We start from the raw sequence: 21044 nt of genomic DNA on the forward strand, positions 1-21044 counted from the left end.
ATGTTTTGTAGAGATAGCGTCTGGCCGTGTTGCCCAGGCAGATCTCGAACTTCAGGCCTGAAGGTGTTCCTCCTACCTTGGCCTCCCAGAATGCTGGGATTAACAGGCATGAGCCACCGTGCCTGGCCTCCCATTTTCTTTAGAAATTACTGAGTCTCAGGTATTCTGTTATAGCAAAGCAAAATGGACCAAGACAGCTGGCAATTTGTAATGGAAACAAATTTATTTCTCGCGACCCTGGATGCTGAGAAGTCCAAAACAAAGGTACCAGTATCTGGTATCTGGCAAGAGTCTTCCTGGTATTTCCTCACGTGGCAAAAGGTGGAAGGACAAGCCGGGGAGAATGTTATGTCCTCACATAGCAGAAGAGGAAAAGAGAGAGCAAACCCACTTCTGCAAGCTCTTTTCATAGCAGCATTCATTCACTCACGAGGGCTCTGCCGTGATGGCCTAAACACCTGCTGTTATTCCACACCTCCCAACACTGTTGCAGTGGGGATTCATTTCACTGTGAGTTTTGGAGGGAACACAAATATTGAAATGCTAGCAGATACGCATCGTTGTGTCAGAGAACAGGTGGTTGATCCCATGTGGTCCCAGTCTCAGGAGATGAAAGGAGTGAGAAGGATCTCAGTTGGAAAAAGCAGGCATCAGGGGCTTGCTCAGGGAAGTCACAGATGCACAGTGCCACAGGGTCTCCAGGAACAGACATGGAAGGTGGGTGGGTGGAGGTAACTGAGGCACTCGGCACACCCTCCACATCCTCACCTCCAGGTCTTTGTCCCTGTACCTGTGTATGGGGGGTGGATGGGACTTGGGGGTCATGTCTGAGACACCATACTATCCCAAGTTACAGACTAGGATCTGCAGTCCTGTGATGTCCACAGGTGTCCAGCATGCGACATTCTAGAGTAGAGACCAAACCAAAGGCACCAGCAGGCGAGAGAGGATTGGGACAGAGAAAGGTGCAAATGCAGTGATCACATGGGACATCTGAGTAGACCCGGAGAATGTAAGGAAATAGAAAGACTACATTAAAAATCTTCCCACTAGGGACAGTCTAGGCTCCACTGCCTCATTGGTGAAGGCTATCCAACATTTACAAAATACATAATGCCAACCCTTCACAGATTCTTTTAGACTATAGAGGAGGGAACATTTCCCAACTTATCCTTTGAAAATTGTATTACCCTGCTACTAAAGGCAGATAGAGGCTGGGCGTGGTGGCTCACGCCTGTAATCCCAACGTGTTGGGAGTCTGAGGTGGGCGGACCACCTGAGGTCAGGAGTTTGTGACCAGCCTGGCCAACATGGTGAAACCCCGACTCTGCTAAAAATACAAAAATTAGCTGAGTATACTGGTGGGCACCTGTATTCCCAGCTACTCGGGAGGCGGAGGCAGGAGAATTGCATGAACCTGGGAGGCAGAAGTTGCAGTGAGCCCAGAGCGCACCACTGCACTCCAGCCTGGGTGACAGAGCAAGACTTGTCTCAAAAACAATAATAAAATAATAATAATAATAATAGTGCCAGAGACAGCAGAAGAATACCATAAACCAATATCCATCATGAATATGCGTGCAAAAATCCCCAACAAAACATTAACAAACCCCAATCCAGCGACACATACAGTGGGTTATGCAACATGACCAAGTGACATTTATTCTAGGAATGCAAGATTGGCTTAACATTCAAATTTCAGTCAAGGTAATCCACCCTGTTAATATAATAGAGGACAGGAACTATATCATCATCTTCATAGACAGAGAAAAGTATTTGACAATATCTGACACCCATTAGTGATAAAATCATGTCTACACAAAGACATGTGCTCAGATGTTCACTGCAGCATTTTGCAGGAAGGCCCCAGGGTGGAAACAAGCCAAATGTCTACCAATCAGTAAAGGGATAAAGAAGTGGTATATCCGTACAGCCGAATGTTACTGAGCCGTGACAAAGAACACACTACTGATGCACGTTTGAGCCTCCAAGACATTATGCTCATTGACAGATGTCAGACACAGAAGACCACTTATTGCACAAGTCAGTTTATAGGAAATGCCCAGAGAGGCAGCTCTAAAGAGAGAGAAAGGAGCTTGCTAGTTGCCTGGGTGGGCCTGGAGGTAAAGTAATGGGGATTCACTGCTGCTAGTGGGTACCAGCGATCTTTCTGGGGTGATGGAAGTATTCTGAAACTGGATAGTGGTGAGGGCTGCAAAACTGTGTAAATTTACTAAAACTCACTGTGTTATTCCCTTTAGGTACGTGAAGTTTGTGGCAAGCAAATTATACCTTAGTAAAGCCATTTAAAAAATGTAGTGCAAGTGTGACCGTAAGTCACGGAGGAAGGGGTATGCAGTCATTTTTTTCTACAACAGTAAGCAACATCCCCTCTCTTTCCCTGTTCCGCATCCTGCCTACATGTCCTGCCTGGTCGCCTGGCTCCTCCACGTGCACTTGATGCTCCAGCCAGATAGACTGTGCACACCTGGGCAGAGGGAGTGCTGGTGAGTGCACATGTCTACGTGTGTGTCTGTGTGCGGTGTGCACGCGTTCCTGCGCAGGCACCCTGTGGGTGCATGCACTAGTGACTGTCAATCCTCTGTCTGTGGGCTGGCTCCCATAATCCATGCTACGTCCTGAATTCCACTGCCGGTTTTTCTGTTCACCAATCTCAAGGACCTGGCTTCAGTTTCTCTGGTAACCAACCTCAGCCCTTAGCTTCAACCTCTGAGCACAGGAAGACAGCCAGAGTGGGGAGGGGTGTTGTCTCACCCACAGGGCCCCTGCCGGAGCTGAGCACCCCAATGGGATGAGTGGCAGCACGGTTACCAAGACAACAGAACTCTCGACCCCTTTCCACCTGCAAGGCTCTTCTCCCTCTCCTGGGCCTGCCGAGCATCAGGTCGGAAAGGTAAAGCTGTGGCATAACCACCCTCCTAAGTCCTTGAAATTGCTCTAGACGTGGCTGTAGAATAAATATGTCAAAAGATGCTCTTGAAAGAGAAGGCAACCCCTACTTTTTTTTTCCCAATTCATTAACTACAAACAAGGCTATGAAGTCCAAGGTTATATTTAAAAATCAGGGCAGGCGAAAGGGAGTGTGTGCTTATGTCTCTCAACGTCAGCTGTGCATCAGGTCTCTCGTGGAGCATTTGTCCAAGAGCAAATGCCGGACCCCATCCCCAGAGAGTCTGACTTAGCAGGTCTGGAATGTGGCCCCAGCATGAGTATCATTTTATAACTCCTCTTATGAAAGACGAGGTGGCAGCTGCAGAAACGGAACCATCCTCATAGGAAGTAAAGCATATCTGAAACACAAGGTCCCTCGCCAAAGGGAAAGCAGGACGTCTTTGCTCCCTGCTGTGCTGGCGGTTTCTAGGGCTAATAGATTTCCCGGGCTAAGGAAAGGTCAAAAACATTCAAAGTAATGTGAGTGCGTGTTTTACAGCTGACACTGTGCTCGCCTTCCTCTATATTCCTGAAATCAAAATTTTCACGTTAACATGCTGCATTTGCCAGTGAAATTTATTGTTGTTTCTGGTGAGGGTCTCCTATGCTCGAGTTCTTTTCTTTTTTTTTTTTTTTAACTTTCCACATACCCTCTTTTTTATTACTATTATTATTATTATTATTAATATTATTCTTATTTTGTGTGTGTGTGTGTGTGTGTGTGTGTGTGTGTGTGTGTGTGTGATAAGAACACTTAGCCAAAAATCTACTCTTTTAGTAAATTTGAAGTATACAATACAGTGTTTTTAGCTATAGGCATTATGCTATGTAGTAGATCTCTAGAACTTCTTTATCTTACATAACTGAAACTTTGCAACTTTGACCATCAACCCTCCATTCCCTGCCCCAACCAGCCCCTGGCAACCACCATTCTACTCTCTGTTTATATAAGTTTAACTATTTTAGATTCCACATATAAGTGAGGTCGCACAGTATGTGTCTGGCATATTCACTTAGCATAATGTTCTCAGGGTCCATCCATGTTGTCACAAATGTCAGAATTTCCTTCTTTTTAAGGCTGAATAATATTCCATTGTATGTATATACCACATTTTCTTTATTCATCCATCAATGAACACTTAGGTTGTTCTTATATCTTGCTTATTATGAATAGTGCTGCAAAGAACATGGGGAGTATCTGGACTATCAATACCCAGAAGTGAGATTACTGGATCATATGGTAGTTATTTTCAAGGTGAGTAAAACACTGCATAGATACGTTCACGAGACATTGCACAATCATTCCTTGAATCTAGAGATGGCTCAGATTTGTATTAGCTGATGTGGATGAATCAGCTCCCAGGCTTACTTATTGTGTTGAGATGTATTTTTCACATGTTATTATAATTAGTGATATCAGATTAATCCTTCCGCTTAAAGGGCCATATAGGACTAGGAAATGTACGATGAAAAATACAATTCAGCAGTCCCTTGTTTCATGTGGTGCACCCGTGGAGACCCACCTCCGCAAACTTCTCTTTTTTTTCTTCAGCTATTTCTTCTGAATATTAACCTCTGTGTCTCTAAATGATGGGCTCCTACTGCTATGTCCCGATTTAGGGATTTGGAGGTTATCTGCTGAGTTCTCGGAGGAGATGAGCATTTCGGTCTCTGAGATACATTACAGGGCCCGGGTCTGCTCTTTGGCCTTCCCTGTGGGGGCCACCCAAGCCAGGGTCTGGGCCTCCACTCGGATGCCTGTAGAGAGTCTCTGCCAATACAAAGCCTTCACGGGAGACTCTTTGCTCATCTGTGGCAATGTGGAGGTCATGGTTGGCTTTTTCCAGAGGCTTGCAGCAGAGTCACGGGGTGATCTGCAGCCAACCTGGCAGTATTCCTAGGTTCTGGGGTTCAGGAACTGAGTGGATGGCGGTGCCAACCCATGAGACAAGGGACACAGTTGGGGGTCATCCGCTGATTTGTTGGGCTTGTGGGATATCTGAGTGGACATGCTCCTGAAACCATGCCCTGTGGGGGCTCTGGGGCTCAGCTGGGATTTTCCTGGTGGAGTTCGTGATGCAGGAATCCATCAGCACACAAGCGGAGAAGGACGGAACCAAGTCTGGGTGGCCATGTGGGCACCCAGGGTCACCTACAGAATGAGGAGTGTCCAGGGCAAAGGTCGCAAGAGGGAGGAGGAGTCCTGCTGGGGGAGCACAGAGCAGTCTTGTGATGAGAGTGGTGGACCTATGGGGCTTGGAGTTGGGGTGATGGAAGGGGCTGGGTACATGGGGGCACTTGGTCTGGAGATTCACACCGAATGCCTGGTGTGAGGAGGTTTCTTTGCTTGGGACCATAGAAGCACGAGGAGCCATCAGAAGCCAGAAGAGGTTGTTCGTGTCTGTGGCCCTGGCCAGGATGGATTTCCAGCCTCTGTAAACCTAAGCCCTATCGTGAGAGTGGCCTCAAAGTGTTATCCCTCGTGGTGAGGAGGCTGTGCTTTTGGGCCCTTCAAGGGAGGATCAGAGAGACTTAGCCACAGGGTGACACAACAGAACTCCCCTGGGAGTTCTCCATGGGAACTGCGAGGGGCCCCGTGTTCCAGTATTCTTTGCAAATGCAAGGAGAGCCCCGAGTCTGGAGGTTCAGATATCTTGCAGCGAGCCACCTGTACCAGGCCGCCATAAATAATGGTGGGGTATGTTCCCCAGTGAAGGAGCAGGTGCGATGCAAGAAAGATTCCAGCCACCACTACCTGGCCACAGCCCAGGTGCCGTCGGGAACTGAAGGTCTTTGTCAAGGAAACTCGTCATTGCAAAGCTCCTTAAACTCTCTTTGGGCGGTGGGGGGGGGGCAGTCTCCGGGTGTCTACCTGGGTGGTACCCCCTATAAGAAAAGGGGACCACATGAGGCATGAATGTGACAAGAGGAGAAGCACGCCCTTCCTCCAAATTGACCCCTTTAGAGATCTCAGGATGAGACACAAGGGCCCCGGGAGCCTCTCTGGGTCTGGTTCCTGGTGTGCATTTGCCAGACTCTTCGGCCTCAGAGCGCTGCTGGGGCGTGAAGAAGTGCTGTGGAAGTCATGATTTTCTCAGCGTCAAGAGCCCAATCAGGATCTGGAAGTGGTGGAGTGGCCTCGGAGTTCCAGGTACTCGAGAGGCTGAGGTGGGAGGATGGCTTGAGCCGAGTTCAAGGCTGTAGTGATGTATGTTTGCACGACTGCACTCCAGCCTGGGTGACAGAGCAAGACCTTATATCAAAAAAAAACAAAACCGAATCAGGCAATGCGTATATAAATGTTTTCTAAATCTTACAGCTCCACGTGAAGTAAGAGTGCTATTACTGATTTTGTTTTTGCTGTCTAACTGTGGCGGCTGCTTCTATTAGTAACCGAGTTCTATTATTAAATGAAAACACTCAATGGGGCCCAAGACAGCTGACTCGCCCCGGGGTGGAGAAGCGAGACCTGCCCAAAGGGCCATGCCAGTGCACTAGGGCGCATGGCGTCTGTGAGAAATGAGGAGGTTCTGCCTTGGAGAATGAGTTTCTGCCAGGATACAACAATGGGAGACAATTCTTGGGTCTGTCAGGAGCCACTGAAGTTCTCCCCTGTACCTTTCAACTCTTGGGAGGAAACTGGCATTATGTACATTTGAAAGAAATAGGAAGGAAAAAAGCCCTCCTTCTTTTAATAAGAAATTTTGGCTTGCTGCATTTGCTCCAGGCGTCATTCTCTGTCTGTAGAAACATTGTTTCACTCCACCCTCCAGGGCTCAGGTCCTGGGAAGTGGGGTCTATCTTAATAAAGAACACTGGAGCCCGGCATGGCTGGGGATGTCAATGATGGCCCTGAAGGAGGCCCTGCTCACCTCGGTGACACGCTCATTGGCTGCTCCACTCTCTGTGTGTGTCTGGTTTTCTCCTCTTTCTGTGCTCTGTTTGGGGAGGGTCTATTTATGGGGAGTTAATATCATCTCAGATGATTAAAGAAGAGGTGGCAGCCATGCACACTGGTACACACCAGTAATCCCAATCATTTGGGAGGCTGAGGCTGGAGGATGCTTGAGCCCAGGAGTTTGAGACCAGCCTGGGCAACATAATGAGACCTCATCTCTACAAAGAATAAAAACATTAGCCGGCTGTGGTCGTGCAAGATTGTACTCCCAGCTACTGGGGTGGTTGAGGTGGGAGGATCTCTTGAGCCCAGGAGTTTGACGCTGCAGTGAGCTACAATCATGCTACTGTACTCCATCCTAGGTGACAGAAAAAAAAAGAGAAAGAAAAGAAGGGGGAAAAAAACCCTTCTTTTTATGAGAATCTTTGGCTTACTGCTTTTTCTCTAGACATCCTTTCCTGGCTCTCGACACATGTTTTGACTCCAAGCTCCATGGCTCAGGCCCTGGGAAATGGGGTCTGTCTTAATAAAGGACAGTAGAGCCTGGCCTTGCATGGGGAGGGGAACGACAGCTTCTCTCTTCTGTGTGTCTGTCAGATTCTTTGCTCTTTCTGTGTCCTGTTTTGGGAGTCTGCTTATGAGGGGTTAAAATTGTCCTGGGTTACAGTAGGGAAGACAAGTACGTCCCATTCCCTTGCTACTGTGGACTGATAAGACGGTGTGCAGAGGAGGAGTCGCAGGGAATGGTATGCAGAGAGCAACAAACTCACTCAAGCCCCTCACACCCCACAAGCACGCTGGCTTATTTATTCTCTCTGACTGATTTGACATTTGTCTTGCTTGTCCACCCTCTGGACTGGATAGTAAGGGGAAACAAACGCACTGGATTTTCGTCTAATCTGGTGTCATCTGATGCTGTCATGTAACCGATCCATTTGTATAAATGCTCAATCTGTTTTGGCGAAAATGATCAGTCTCTTGGATTGCCACCCCACCTCCCTACTCTTGTCCAAGATGGGGAAGGGGCATATATGGCTTTTGAGTCTCCATGGTGATGTGGGAAGGGGCCTATGACATTGTATGTTGGCTGCAGTGTCCTCGGTGGGTTCTGAGGGAAGGCTCACTCTTGTCCCCAGGTCCTGCTGTCGACGCTGCCCTGCTCACCCATGCGTGAGGCTGGCGTAACTTGCATTTTTGTCTCTCTCTCTCATCTTGATCAGGACCTTGTGCTCCCTGGCTGACTTGACCTCAGCCCACCTGTGCTGGCATCTAGCCGACCCTTCTGAGTCAGGGCCTCATGCTCTCCCCGACCCCTGACCAGTGCTGTCCACTCCACAGCCTCAGCTGCAGGGTCTCCTAGCTCCTATCTGGCTTATGCTTGCTTCATGGTAGCACCGCTGGGTTTTGAATCAGCCACTTCCACATTCCCCTCTCAGAGAATGTAGAGCGCTGAGGTCTCCCAAAACAGCAGGAACCAAGATCAGCTCTACAAAGTGAAATTCCTCAACTCCAGACATCCCTCTGCCCAAAGAGGCTACTGGGCCATTCTGCAAAACGAGCTCCAAATTTGCATGAGGTAAAACCCTCTTTTACTCGAAGCTTCTCTCCACTCCCTTGTCACACCTTCCTCCTCTGAGATGTCTGACTCTGTCACTGCCTCTGGGGACCTCCTACCCCCTGTGACCAGAACAGGACACCTTCTTTGGCTTGTCTTTCATGTTCACCTCAGACTTGCCCTGTTATATCCAGGTCAAGAAGGTCACAGTTGGGAATTTGTACTTGGTTCAGAACAACAGTAGAATATGTTTCCAAGGGCCTGAGCCATGGAGCTTGGATTCAAAAAAATGTGTCCAGAGCCAGGAAAGGACGCCTAGGGAAAAAGCAGTAAGCCAAAGGTTTACTGCTTCTTACTTATAAGAAGAAGGGGAGATTTTTCCCTCTTGTTTCTCTCTCTTTTTTTTTTTTTTTTTTTTTGAGACACCCTCTCGTTCTGTCACCAAGGCTGGACTATAGTGGCACAATCATAGCTCACTGCAGCCTCAAAATCCTGGTTTCAAGAGATCCTCCCACCTCAGCCACCCCAAAATACAGATTAGGGACAAAAGCCCTATTGAAGGGAGTTGAGGAGGCCGTGGCCTCAGAACTCCAGGCAGTTTTTGTTGAAGGGCAGCACATTCTGTGCCAGCAGCTGCTGAAGGACATGTGGGGAGAGGGTGGGTTTTTCCTCCTTTGCTTGTGGAGTGCTCCAACGTAGAGGGGGCAGTTGATGACTTTGAAGGGAGGAGGGATCATTGCAGGAGCAAAGCCCCTGAGAAGGTGGGAGGTATGGGATCCTGAGCTGAGGTGAGGAGCTGGCTTCAGTTAGGAGCACTGTATGCAGAAGGGCGGCAGAGAATGCCAGGGCAGGCACGGGTAGACCGGGCTTGGGAAGCCCTAAGAGTTCCCAGTGGATTGCTTCTGTCTTCTCGATGAATCCTTAGGGTAGGCCACTGAAATGGAAGAGGGTTCCTAGCATTGTTGGGGGGTATGTTAGCAATGGAGGTAGGATGACAGTGAAAGAGAGAAGCAATCTCTCTTGGTCATGGAGAAAGGTACAATAATAAGTAAGGCATTTTTTCTCATCAGTGCTCAGCTCCTGAGAGGCAGGGCGCCCATCCTTTACTGCACATCGTGGAGGGGCGCAGTCTTTCCTGAGGCCAAGGGCATGAAGGTGGGCAGGAGGAGACCCCTGAAGACATAGGGGTTCTGGCAGTAGCCTGGTCAGCCCCGGGGGTGGGCGTTGAGATCGCCAGAGAGGATTTATAGAGTAAGGGCTGCGAGGGTACAGGGGGTGTGTCACGTGGGAAGCGTGTGCAAAGGCTGGCTTGGGCACTTTGGGAGGCTGAGGCGGGGGGATCACACGGTTAGGAGTTCGACACCAGCCTGGCCAATATGGTGAAACCCCGCCTCTACTAAAAATACAAAAATTAGCCGGGCATGGTGGCGGGTGCCTGTAGTCCCAGCTATGCGTGAGGCTGAGGCAAGAGAATCGCCTAAGCCTGGGAGGCGGAGGTTGCAGTGAGCCGAGATCGCGCCACTGCACACCAGCCTGGGGGGACAGAGCGAGACTCCGTCTCAAAAAAAAAAAAAAAAGCGCCTGGCTTGGTAGGAGGAGAATGGCCTGGTGACTGACACAAGTCTCGAACGTGGCGCGGCTGGGGCAGTCGCGTCCCTCAGCCGTCAGCTCCCAACAGCAAGGAAGGAAGCCCTGGCGGACCCCGTGAAGGATACAGGAGCCGATCTCCCCGGGCTCCGAAGCGTAGTCCCAGAGCCCGTCAATCCTACGCCAGCAACGCCCCACGGGTTGCGTTTTCCGGCGCTACAGGAACTTCCTGCGCGGTTGCTGTGGTTGCGAGGGCGTGACAAGTGGGGGTTACCGACGCCGTAAGCACTTCCTGCTCGGCTGCTGTGGTTGCGGGAACGGGACTAGCGCGGTTGCTATGGTTGCGAGGCCGTGACTGGGGGGGGGGGGGTTCCGGCGCCGCAGGAACTTCCTGCGCGGTTGCTGTGATTGAGAGGGCGGGATTAGAAGTTTTGTGCAGTGGTGGGTCCCTCTTCCCTGTTCGCCGGAGCCATTGCGTCCCGTACCATTCCCTTCTCGGGTCGTAGTTCTCCTCCCGCTAGCCTGCCCCAGTCGGGCTCGGGGCCGAAAAGCAGAGGAGAAGATGGAATTTCCTCTGCAGTTGGCGGCGTTCGGTTTTTGCGGCCGGCAGGTGGCAATGTTGCACCATGGAGCCACCCTGCTCGCCTCCCGCCCCGCCCTTCGCGAGCGAAAAAAGGCCGCCGAACCTTTTCCGAGAGAAGAGGCTTTTTTTTTTTCCCTTCCCTGGGGTCTGCGCCGGTAGGTCCCGGAGGCTGAGATTCCGCCCTCTGAGGGGCCCCCTCGCTAAAACTCACAGCCTGTGGACAAAGCCTTTTTGGTTTTCAAATCGGCCTGTTTCCCGCGAGGCTGCCTTCTTCCTTTAGCAACCCTCATTCTGCTGCGCTGAATGCTCTCGTCTTTTTTTTTTGGAGACAGAGTCTCGCTCTGTCGCCCACGCTGCAGTGCAGTGGCGCGATCTCCGCGCACTGCAAGCTCCGCCTCCCGGGTTCACGCCATTCTCCTGCCTCAGCCTCCCGAATAGCTGGGACTACAGGCGACCGCCACCACACCTTGCTAATTTTTTGTGTTTTGTTTAGTAGAGACGGGGTTTCACCTGTTAGCCAGGATGGTCTCGATCTTCTGACCTCGTGATCCACCCGCCTCGGCCTCCCAAAGTGCTAGGATTACAGGCGTGAGCCACCGGGCCCGGCCTGGTCTCATCCTTCTTTTCCCCCCACGCCGTCCTGGCGCCTGTGGACCTTCATCAACGTTTTTTTTTTTTTTTTTGAGACGGAGTCTCGCTTTGTTGCCCAGGTTGGGGTGCAGTGTTGCGAGGCTCACTGCAACCTCCGCCTCCTGGGTTCAAGGGATTCTCCTGCCTCAGCCTCTTGAGTAGCTGAAATTATAGGCAGGCGCCACCACACCCGGCTAATTTTTGTATTTTTAGTACAGACGAGGTTTCACCATGTTGGCCAGTCCAGTCTCGAACTCCTGACCTCAGGTGATCCGCCCGCCTCAGCCTCCTAAAGTGCTGGGATTACAAGCGTGAGCCACCGCCCGGCCCATCAATGTATTCTTTCATTAGGGACTGCGTTCAGCCTCACTGGAGAACGTTGGGAGGCGAGATAACGCAGAATAAAGAAAACGAATCTTAGCCACCGTCCCATCACGCAGCGGTGGCCATTCATTATGCTTTGTGATATTTCCTTAAGAAGGTTTTTCAACCATAAAGGTGCATTTTCCACATACTGAGATTCCTACTTCCGTCGCGACTTCAACATCCTTCTTTTTAACTCGGTTTCACATTTTTGAAAAATTCTTTTTGTAACTTTAATGGTTTTGATTGAAATAATAATGCAAACGTTTTCTGGAACGTTGAAAGTTCCTGTAAAACTTGAGTGCACAATTCATTAACTCGATATCCAAAGACAGCCGTCACTGTGTTATGAGGGTAGGAGCTGTGGTATGTGTGTGTTCCAGTCTTTTGTCCTCAGCACCTGGAAGACTACTTAGAATTTACTAGGTGCCTAATAAACATTGTGAATTAAACTGATATTTACATTTCCAGTCAATTTTCCTTATATATGCAGAGTTAATCTTTTCATAACCCTGGATTATAATATAGCACCGGTTTTCTACATGATTTTTTCGTTTCACATTTTGTAGTGAGCATTTGCCTTTGTCGTTAACATTTCTTAAATGTTTGTCTTGCATCGGTCAGGTCAATTCACTTACAAAAGATAATTTTACTTGTTTATGATATTCAGGAAAGAATTCAGGGCTTTGCATGTAAAACACTCTCCATAATTCCATAAAAATCTCACTGAAGCCGGCCAGCGCAGTGGCTCACGCCTGTAATCCCAGCACTTTGGGAGGCCAAGGTGGGCAGATCACCTGAGGTCGGGAGTTTGAGACCAGCCTGGCTAACATGTTGAAACCCCGTCTCTACTAAAAATACAAAATTAGCTGGGCGTGGAGGTGTGCGCCTGTAATCCCAGCTACTCGGGGGGCTGAGGCAGGAGAATCGCTTGAACCCAGGAGGTGGAGGTTGCAGTGAGCCAAGATCACACCACTGCACTCCTGCCTGGGCAAGAGTGAGACTCCGTCTCCAAAAATAATAATCTCACTGAAGCTTAACTAAGTTGTAGCCTAGAATTGCCTTGATAGAGACGGATCTTTTATTCTGTGTTTTAATCAGCTTTCAATATATTGGCTGTCTTCCACAGGACACTGCCCTAGATCAAGACAATTCACAGAACTGAGATTCTGGATGGCATGCTAAGGTTATCTGGCCCAGTGGTAAGAAGCTACAGTCAGCTTAGCTTGCTGCATTGATATAGTCATGTAATGACGTACTGGGGGCATAAAGAAAAATGCACTAAATATGAACTTAGGGGCCTAATTCCCAACGTGTCATTGGAGTCAGGGACACCATCACTTGACTGGAAGCACCATATGTGAGCCAAGGCTCATCTGACTGCAGTGGTCTTTCTCCATGTCTAGCTAATACTTGTGAAGCTGCTTTAGGCATGCCTCAAATAACTGAAAAAAATCACATACTTCTTTCCAAAAAGGGGGAGGGGGCTCACCGTAAACAGTACTGTACACAAATAATCGGAGTTAATTTATGCAGACAGCTTCTTTACCCTAAAGCTGCGGTTTGATTTGGACAAGAAGTTCTTCACTAATATTCACTTCCTCTCACAGGGCCTCATGCAGGGCCTTGGGCCAGGCCTCAAGAGAAGTCCCTTTCTATTAATAGTTCCTGCCCTGCCAGCCTTACCTATTTGACTGAGTCACTTTGCTTCTCTGGGCTTGCAGCAGCATCCAGGGAGGGGTGTGGTGAGAGTGCCCCTGTTCCCAGCCCAACAGCTCCTCTTTTTTCTCTTATGCATTGGATTTTTTTTTCAAGAAACATGCTTTTACTTTAACAAAAACTGAAATCCACTGGTCTACGTGATTTCTAAGATTTCCTATGTGCTTAGTCACCCACAGATGAAGGAAGATTGGACAGCAATGAAGTTATGAAAATGAGTAAGTACAGCTATCCATAGGAGTAGCGGCTACTACCAAGCAATCGCTCTGCTTAGGTCTCCAGCACTGTCAAGTTACTCTACTGGCCCTTGGCTTAATCAAGACTATTTGAAGATAAACTTTTATCTTTTGTTAAAGCTAATATATTTTTGCTGCCTCATTAAATAGATTAGCCTGTTTCCTAACTAAATAGTTATATAAGGGCCGGGCACGGTGGCTCACGCCTGTAATCCTAGCAATTTGGGAGGCCGAGGCAGGTGGATCACATGGTCAGGAGTTCAAGACCAGCGTGGCTAAGATGGTGAAACCCCGTCTCAACTAAAACTACAAATAATTAGCCAGGCGCTGTGGCAGGCATCTGTAATCCCAGCTACTTGGGAGGCTGAGGCAGGAGAATCGCTTGAACTCGGGCGGCAGAGGTTGCAGTGAACCGAGATCGCACCACTGCACTCCAGCCTGGGTGACAGAGATTCTGTCTCAAAATAGTAGTAGTAATAATAATAATAATAATAATAATAATAATAATAGGCATATAAGAGCATAGACTGTAGCATCACTGAAAACTAAACTCTATAGAAATTTCAGTCCTTTTTTTCAATTTAGTGAGTTTTTCAATATCTTTTCCAAACAGCAAAACACAGTTTTTCCTATATTTGTTTCCCAGTGGCATCTTAGGTTGTATTATTTTGGCACAGACACCCTTCGTTTGTATTTTAAAGATGTAGGGACCCCGTCTCTACAAAAAATTTTTTTAAAATTAGCCAGGTGTGGTTCCAGCTACTCGAGGCTGAAGTGGCAGGATTGCTTGAGCCCAGTAGTTTAAGGCTACAGTGAGCTGTGATCACACCATGGCACTCCAGCTTGGGCAACAGAGTGAGACCTTGTCTCGAAAAAAAGGATGTAAAGAAAGTCTTTACTCTCCCTAAAATTATGATTCCAGAGACTGTATTCTTATCTATTTCAAATCATGTGGATAAGATTTATTGAGCATATACTATGTGTTGGGTACTATACTGAGTCCTTTACATGTACTATTAGTCTCATTGATCATAGAAACCTTTGGAGTTTGTTATTGGTTACTATAATTATTCCTGTTTAACAGATGAGAAAACTGCTACTTAAAGAGACATCAATGCTCAGGTGTGTGATGCTAAAGATGTTTGTATAATGTAAACCCTATGATGACTCAAGGGACAGATTTCCTCATATTATTTTTTTCTTTTTCTTGAGACGGAGTCTCACTCCATCACCCAGGCTGGAGTGCAGTGGGGTGATCTCAGCTTACTGCAACCTCCGCCTCCTGGGTTCAAGCATTTCTCCTGCCTCAACCTCCCGAGTAGCTGGGATTACAGGCACACGCTACCACGCCCAGCTAATCTTTTGTATTTTAGTAGAGACGGGGGGCATGAGCCACTGTACATGCCGTTTTTTTTTTTTTTTTTTTTTGAGACAGGGTCTCTATCACCCAGGCTGGAGTGCAGTGGTGCAATAATGGTTCACTGCAGCCTCGACCTCCTGAGCTCAAGAGATCCTCCCACCTCAGCCTCCCAAGTAGCTGGAATCATACCTGGCTTTTTTTTTTTTTTTTTTTTTTGAGACGGAGTCTCGCTCTGTCACCAGGCTGCAGTGCAGTGACACGATCTCGGCTCACTGCAATCTCCGCCTCCCAGGTTCAAGCGATTCTACTCCGTCAGCCTCCTGAGTAGCTAGGATTACAGGTGCGTGCCACCACACCCAGCTCATTTTTTCGTATTTTTAGTAGAGACAGGTTTTCACCATATTGGCCAGGATAGTCTCCATCTCCTAACCTCGTGATCCACCTGCCTCAGCCTCCCAAAGTGCTGGGATTACAGGTGAGAGCCACCACGCCTGGCAAAACCTGGCTAATTTTTAAAAATTAAAAACAAATCCCAGCACTTTGGGAGGCCAAGGTGGGAGGATCACTTGAGATCAGGAGTTCGAGACCAGCTGGGCCAACATGGTGAAACCCCGTATCTACTAAAAATACAAAAATTGGCCAGGCGTGGTGGCCCGTGCCTGTAGTCCCAGCTACTGTGGAGGCTGAGGCACAAGAATCGCTTGAACCCAGGAGACAGAGGTTGCAGTGAGCCGAGATTGCACCACTGCACTCCAGCCTGGGCAACAGAGTGAGACCCTATCTCAAAATAAATTATTTTTCCAGTCCCTCCTCTTAGACAAGATGAACTCCTTTCATTGCCAGCATATTCTTTTTTGGAGAGAAAACAAAATTATAAGGATATATCATATTCAGGAATTGAGCCAAGAAGGCCTCCATAATGGATCTGAGGAGCAGTTTGTTATTTGGTCTTCTGTTCCTTAGTCGTAACATGGGTCATCCATTTGGACAGGAGAGTGCTGCTGGTCTTAACTAGATGTGACTGGATAGACTTCATGAGGAGTATTCCTATGAGAATAAAAAGAAAAATTATCACTATATCTTGGAAAAGCAGTGCATCCCCAGGACTGTATCCCTGTTGGGAATATTCAAGGGAAAAGGTCATATTCTCAGCCACCCAATGATAACCCAGAGGTCCCAGAGATCAGGACTAGGTGGCAATTCATCAAAAAGACATCAGAAAGGTGTTGGGGGATATATGTACAGCAGTCGTCATTGACAACTGCACAAGTGCATCCATCTCCTAGATCTGCCCGGATGATGGCTAATGCCAGTTGATGATGGACAACAGCCTCTGGAGTTCTTGCATTTCTTGAGTGATTGTGTTAATATTTTTCGTGACATCACTGGTGACTTGGTTGGCTTCATGAATGAGAGCATGGAAAACTCAGGAATTGGGTTGAGCTTCTTCAGTAACCCACAGAGCTGGATTGCCAGAAAAGCCTGCAACCTGAGACCTGTCCCTGTTGGGGGCGAACACATCTAAAACCATTCCAAGTCTTTTAGCTTCTTCAGACAGTTCCTGTTGTTTTCCTGGAGAGAATGGCTGTTTTGCAGAGGGATGTTCTCACTCCTGACAATGGATTGTTCTGTCTAGGAGTGAGAGTTTTACTCTACTTCTGAAAAGGTGGTAAGTTGTCATAACTCTATGCAAATGTATAATCAGAAAGGGAGAAAGAGATGGGTAAGATAACATGACTATCCAATTGGCTGGTTAAAAAAAAAAAGGCAGTGAACCCACAACAAAGTATGAATTGCTTTGGTATTCTCCGGGGGGGAAAAAAACAATTGTCACAATTTATCATGTAACTTTCCTAGGTGCGGCTGGTGTTGGGGCTAAACCCAAGTTACCCACTGCCTTCATTTGGGCTAATAACCTGGCCAGTTTCCTTTGCAGTAGCTTAGGCTCACAAATTTATGATTACAAACAAACACTTCCTTTGGATAAAAACAAGTTCATCTCCTTTGGTGCGTATCCTGGGTAGGGTGTGTTCCTTTTTTAGAGTCGTCAGAGGTCCAGTTTGTATGGGAATATGCCTCAAATGGCAGCCGTACTGGTGGAGAGATTTCTTCCAGGGTAGGAAATGGAGGAGTTGTAAAATACAATTGACAGGAAAAGGTGAGCAGAGCCAATAGGTGACATTAGCTTCATAAGCCTGAGCAAGAAAATGAGAAAGATTTGAGGTATTGAGTAAGGGCAGAGGAGAAAGGGAGAAGGAAATGGGGAGAACAAGGAGAGGAAACAGAAATAGCAGAGTGAGAATACAAGTTGGTAGCGATAGTATAATTTTTGGCTAACAGGAAACACCTTACAAAGTTTCTTAATTATAATTTCAGTAAAATGAGTAAGTAGAGATTCCCCAGATAGGAAGTACAAATTCTAATGTTCTTAAAAGTCATAGTAAGAGCTGTTGCCTTAGAGCAAGGGAATTAAGGAAATTAAACGTTTTGTGATGCAGGGAGTTATATAAAGTCCATCTGTAAATCTTCAAAAGGTCCCTGGAGCTGTGGTTCCTGTCCATGTCCCACATTTACAGTTTGTCCAGGATTATAAAATATTGCAGGTGGAACATACCCTGGGGACATCATCTGCTACTCAAATAAAATTCCCCACCAGTGTTGGCCCAGAGGAGTTTTCAAGGTTTACTGTGATGGATCATAGCCTAGAAATTTTTCATCAAGCTCCAATTCAGACTGGAGAGGCCAAACAGCAGTCTTGGTATCTCCATTGCCCATCTGATAGGAGGGAACATTGGGTTTCTTCCAATATCTTATTTTACTGTGGTAAAATATACATAACATAAAATTTACTATTTTAACCATTTTTAAGTATACAGTTCAGTTCCATTGAATACATTCATATTGTTCTGCAGGCACCACCACCATCCATCTCCAGAACTCTTTTCATCTTGCAAAACTGAAACTCTGTCCACACTGAACCATAGCTCCATATTCCCCCCTCCTTCCAGCCCCTGGCAACTACCATTCTACTCCCTGTCTCTATGAATGTGACTACTCTAAATACCTCATATAAGTGAAATTATATAATGTTTGTCTTTGTGACTGTCTTATTTCAGTTAGTATGTCTTCAAGGTTTTTTAATGTTGTAGCATGTGTCAGAATGTCATTCCTTTTTTAAGGCTGAATAATACTCCATTGTATTTATATACCACATTTTGTGTATCTATTCATCTGTCAATGGACACTTGGGTTGCTTCCACATTTTGGCTATTGAGAATAATGCTGCTATGAAAATGGGTGTACAAATATCTGGTCATGTCCCTGACTGCAGTTCTTTTGGGTATATACCAAGAACTGGGATTGCTGGATTATATGGTAATTCTATGTTTAATTTTTTGAGGAACTGCCATTCTCCCTTATCTCTTTTATAGAATCGAATGCTTGTGACTGCAGTTTTCCCAAGGTTTCATAGAAGTGGTCTGGAGGCTCTTCAAGGAGAACTACAAACCACTGCTGAAGGAAATAAGAGAGGACACAAACAAATGGAAAAACATTCCATGCTCATGGATAGGAAGAATCAATATCGTGAAAATGGCCTTACTGCCCAAAGTAATTTATAGATTCAATGCTATCCTCATCAAGCTACCACTGACTTTCTTCACAGAATTGGAAAAAAACTACTTTCAACTTCATATGGAATCAAAACAGAGCCCGCATTAGCCAAGACAATCCTGGGCAAGAAGAACAAAGCTGGAGGCATCACGCTACCTGACTTGAAACTTTACTACAAGGCTACAGTAACCAAAACAGCATGCTACTGGTACCAGAACAGAGATATAGACCAATGGAACAGAACGGAGGCCTCAGAAATACTACCACACATCTACCACCTCTGATCTTTGACAAACCTGACACACACAAGCAATGGGGAAAACATTCCCTGTTTAATAAATTATGTTGGGAAAACTGGCTAGCCATATGCAGAAAACTGAAACTGGACCCCTTCCTTACACCTTATACAAAAATTAACACAAGATGGATCAAAGACTTAAACGTAAGACCTAGGACCATAAAAATCCTAGAAGAAAACCTGGGCAATACCATTTAGGATGTAGGCATGGGCAAAGACTTCATGACTAAAACATCAAAAGCAATGGCAACAGAAGCCAAAATTGACAAATGGGATCTAATTAAAATAAAGAGCTTCTGCACAGCAAAAGAAACTATCATCAGAGTGAACAGGCAACCTACAGAATGGGACAAAATTTTTGCAATCTACCCATCTGACAAAGGGCTAATATCCAGAATCTACAAAGAACTTAAACAAATTTACAAGAAAAAAACAACCCCATAAAAAAATGGTCAAAGGGTATGAACTGACACTTCTCAAAAGAAGACATTTATGCAGCCAACAGACATATGAAAAAATGCTCATCATCACTGGTCATTAGAGAAATGCAAATCAAAACCACAATGGGACACCATCTCACGCCAGTTAGAATAGCGATCATTAAAAAGTCAGGAAACAACAGATGCTGGAGAGGATGTGGAGAAATAGGAACACTTTTACACTGTTGGTGGGAGTGTAAATTAGTTCAACCATTGTGGAAGACAGTGTGGCTATTCTTCAAGGATCTAGAACTAGAAATACCATTTGACCCAGCAATCCCATTACTGGGCATATACCCGAAGGATTATAAATCATTCTGCTATAAAGACACGTGCACACGTATGTTTATTGCGGCACTATACACAATAGCAAAGACTTGGAACAACCCAAATGTCCATCAATGATAGTCTTGATTAAGAAAACGTGGCTCATATACACCATGGAATACTATGCAGCCATAAAAAAGGATGAGTTTGTGTCCTTTGCAGGGACATGGATGAAGCTGGAAACCATCATTCTCAGCAAACCATCACAAGATCAGAAAACCAAACACCGCATATTCTCACTCATAAGTGGGAGCTGAAGAATGAGAACACATGGACACAGGGAGGGGAACATCACACACCAGGGCCTGTGGTGGGTGGGGGGATAGAGGAGGGATAACATTAGGAGAAATACCTAATGTAGGTGATGGGTTGATGGGTGCAGCAAACCACCATAGCATGTGTATACCTATGTAACAAAACTGCACGTTCTGCACATGTAACCCAGAACTTAAATTATAATAAATAAATAAATAAGTGGTCTGGAGGAACCAGACCATCATTAGTTTGCTGAATATGAATGAGAGCGAATTGTTTAGCATACCAGTCAAGGACTTTCCTTTTGTTTCACAGGTTTATTTCCCAGTAGGAGCTTTGACCACACTTACAGCCAATTCCTGGAGCAAGGTTTCTAGTAAAGCTCGACCTTGTCACCATACTTAATGTAAGTACCAGCAGCAGGTAGGAAACCCTATTGTTTCCGTAGAATACCAAAATTATAAACCACAGCATCGGCACACATGCTTGTCTAGCTGTGTTGTATTTGTAGAGGCCCTTGTGTTTCCCTTAGGTGAAGTTGAGGGCCATAAGACTGTGCATGCAGTTTTCTCCTCATTTATCATACTTTCTTCAAAATACTGAGCTAAGTGTTGTAACTCATGGATGGGTATGACTTGCCCACCTATTTTCTGCTTCTGAACAGCAGCTGATATTTCAGGCTTAGGGCCATTAACAAAAAAGGTGGAGAACTCCCTGGCGGCATCAGCATTAATGCCCAACCTCTAGCATTCCTGATAGTAGTATCTAATTGGTCTCTATAGTTAGAGACAGATTCATCCTACCTTTGTCAACAGGATTGGATTGTTCTCTAGTAATTGTGAGGGGGTAAACTTCAGGGATAGCCTTTAAAAGACACTATCCTATTTCTGGGGCTTCTACATATGCAGAGCAGGTGTTATTTCTAGGAGCGTTACCTAAATCCTCATTTATGGTGGCCTTGTCAAACCAGGCTCAGGGATCTCCTGGTCTTACTGAAAGGTGTGCTAAATGATACAGGTCAAGGAGCTCAGGCAAATCAAGGAGCTCAGGGTGGCCAGGTGCAGTGGCTCACGCCTGTAATCCCAGCACTTTGGGAGGCCGAGGCAGGCAGATCACCTGAGGTCAGGAGTTTGAGACCAGCCTGGCCAACATGGTAAAATCCTGTCTCTACTAAAAATACAAAAATTAGC

General features: G+C 46.6%; 1 long non-coding RNA gene across 1 annotated transcript, besides 6 other annotated features; it reads left to right on the plus strand.

Annotated features, from left to right (window-relative positions):
- Nucleotides 9752-10355: an enhancer, noted in NCBI's record as "H3K27ac hESC enhancer chrX:52949629-52950232 (GRCh37/hg19 assembly coordinates)". NCBI's record gives its function as "activates a minimal SCP1, AML or CMV promoter by ChIP-STARR-seq in primed H9 embryonic stem cells {active_cell/tissue: H9 hESC(primed)}" and the evidence as "EXISTENCE:reporter gene assay evidence [ECO:0000049][PMID:30033119]".
- Nucleotides 10047-10106: an enhancer, noted in NCBI's record as "active region_29645". NCBI's record gives its function as "activates an Ori minimal core promoter by ATAC-STARR-seq in GM12878 lymphoblastoid cells {active_cell/tissue: GM12878}" and the evidence as "EXISTENCE:reporter gene assay evidence [ECO:0000049][PMID:35858748]".
- Nucleotides 10637-10766: an enhancer, noted in NCBI's record as "active region_29646". NCBI's record gives its function as "activates an Ori minimal core promoter by ATAC-STARR-seq in GM12878 lymphoblastoid cells {active_cell/tissue: GM12878}" and the evidence as "EXISTENCE:reporter gene assay evidence [ECO:0000049][PMID:35858748]".
- Nucleotides 10847-10936: an enhancer, noted in NCBI's record as "active region_29647". NCBI's record gives its function as "activates an Ori minimal core promoter by ATAC-STARR-seq in GM12878 lymphoblastoid cells {active_cell/tissue: GM12878}" and the evidence as "EXISTENCE:reporter gene assay evidence [ECO:0000049][PMID:35858748]".
- LOC124905190 (uncharacterized) lies at nucleotides 12538-20158 on the plus strand. Its single transcript, XR_007068242.1, has 3 exons — nucleotides 12538-12770; nucleotides 13179-13505; nucleotides 18315-20158. It is a non-coding gene; the product is annotated as an uncharacterized LOC124905190 (long non-coding RNA).
- Nucleotides 13120-13249: an enhancer, noted in NCBI's record as "active region_29648". NCBI's record gives its function as "activates an Ori minimal core promoter by ATAC-STARR-seq in GM12878 lymphoblastoid cells {active_cell/tissue: GM12878}" and the evidence as "EXISTENCE:reporter gene assay evidence [ECO:0000049][PMID:35858748]".
- Nucleotides 13310-13519: an enhancer, noted in NCBI's record as "active region_29649". NCBI's record gives its function as "activates an Ori minimal core promoter by ATAC-STARR-seq in GM12878 lymphoblastoid cells {active_cell/tissue: GM12878}" and the evidence as "EXISTENCE:reporter gene assay evidence [ECO:0000049][PMID:35858748]".
- Nucleotides 20159-21044: the final 886 nt, after the last annotated feature.

Source organism: Homo sapiens, chromosome X, assembly GCF_000001405.40.
Source record: "Homo sapiens chromosome X, GRCh38.p14 Primary Assembly".
Classification (NCBI taxonomy): domain Eukaryota; kingdom Metazoa; phylum Chordata; class Mammalia; order Primates; family Hominidae; genus Homo; species Homo sapiens.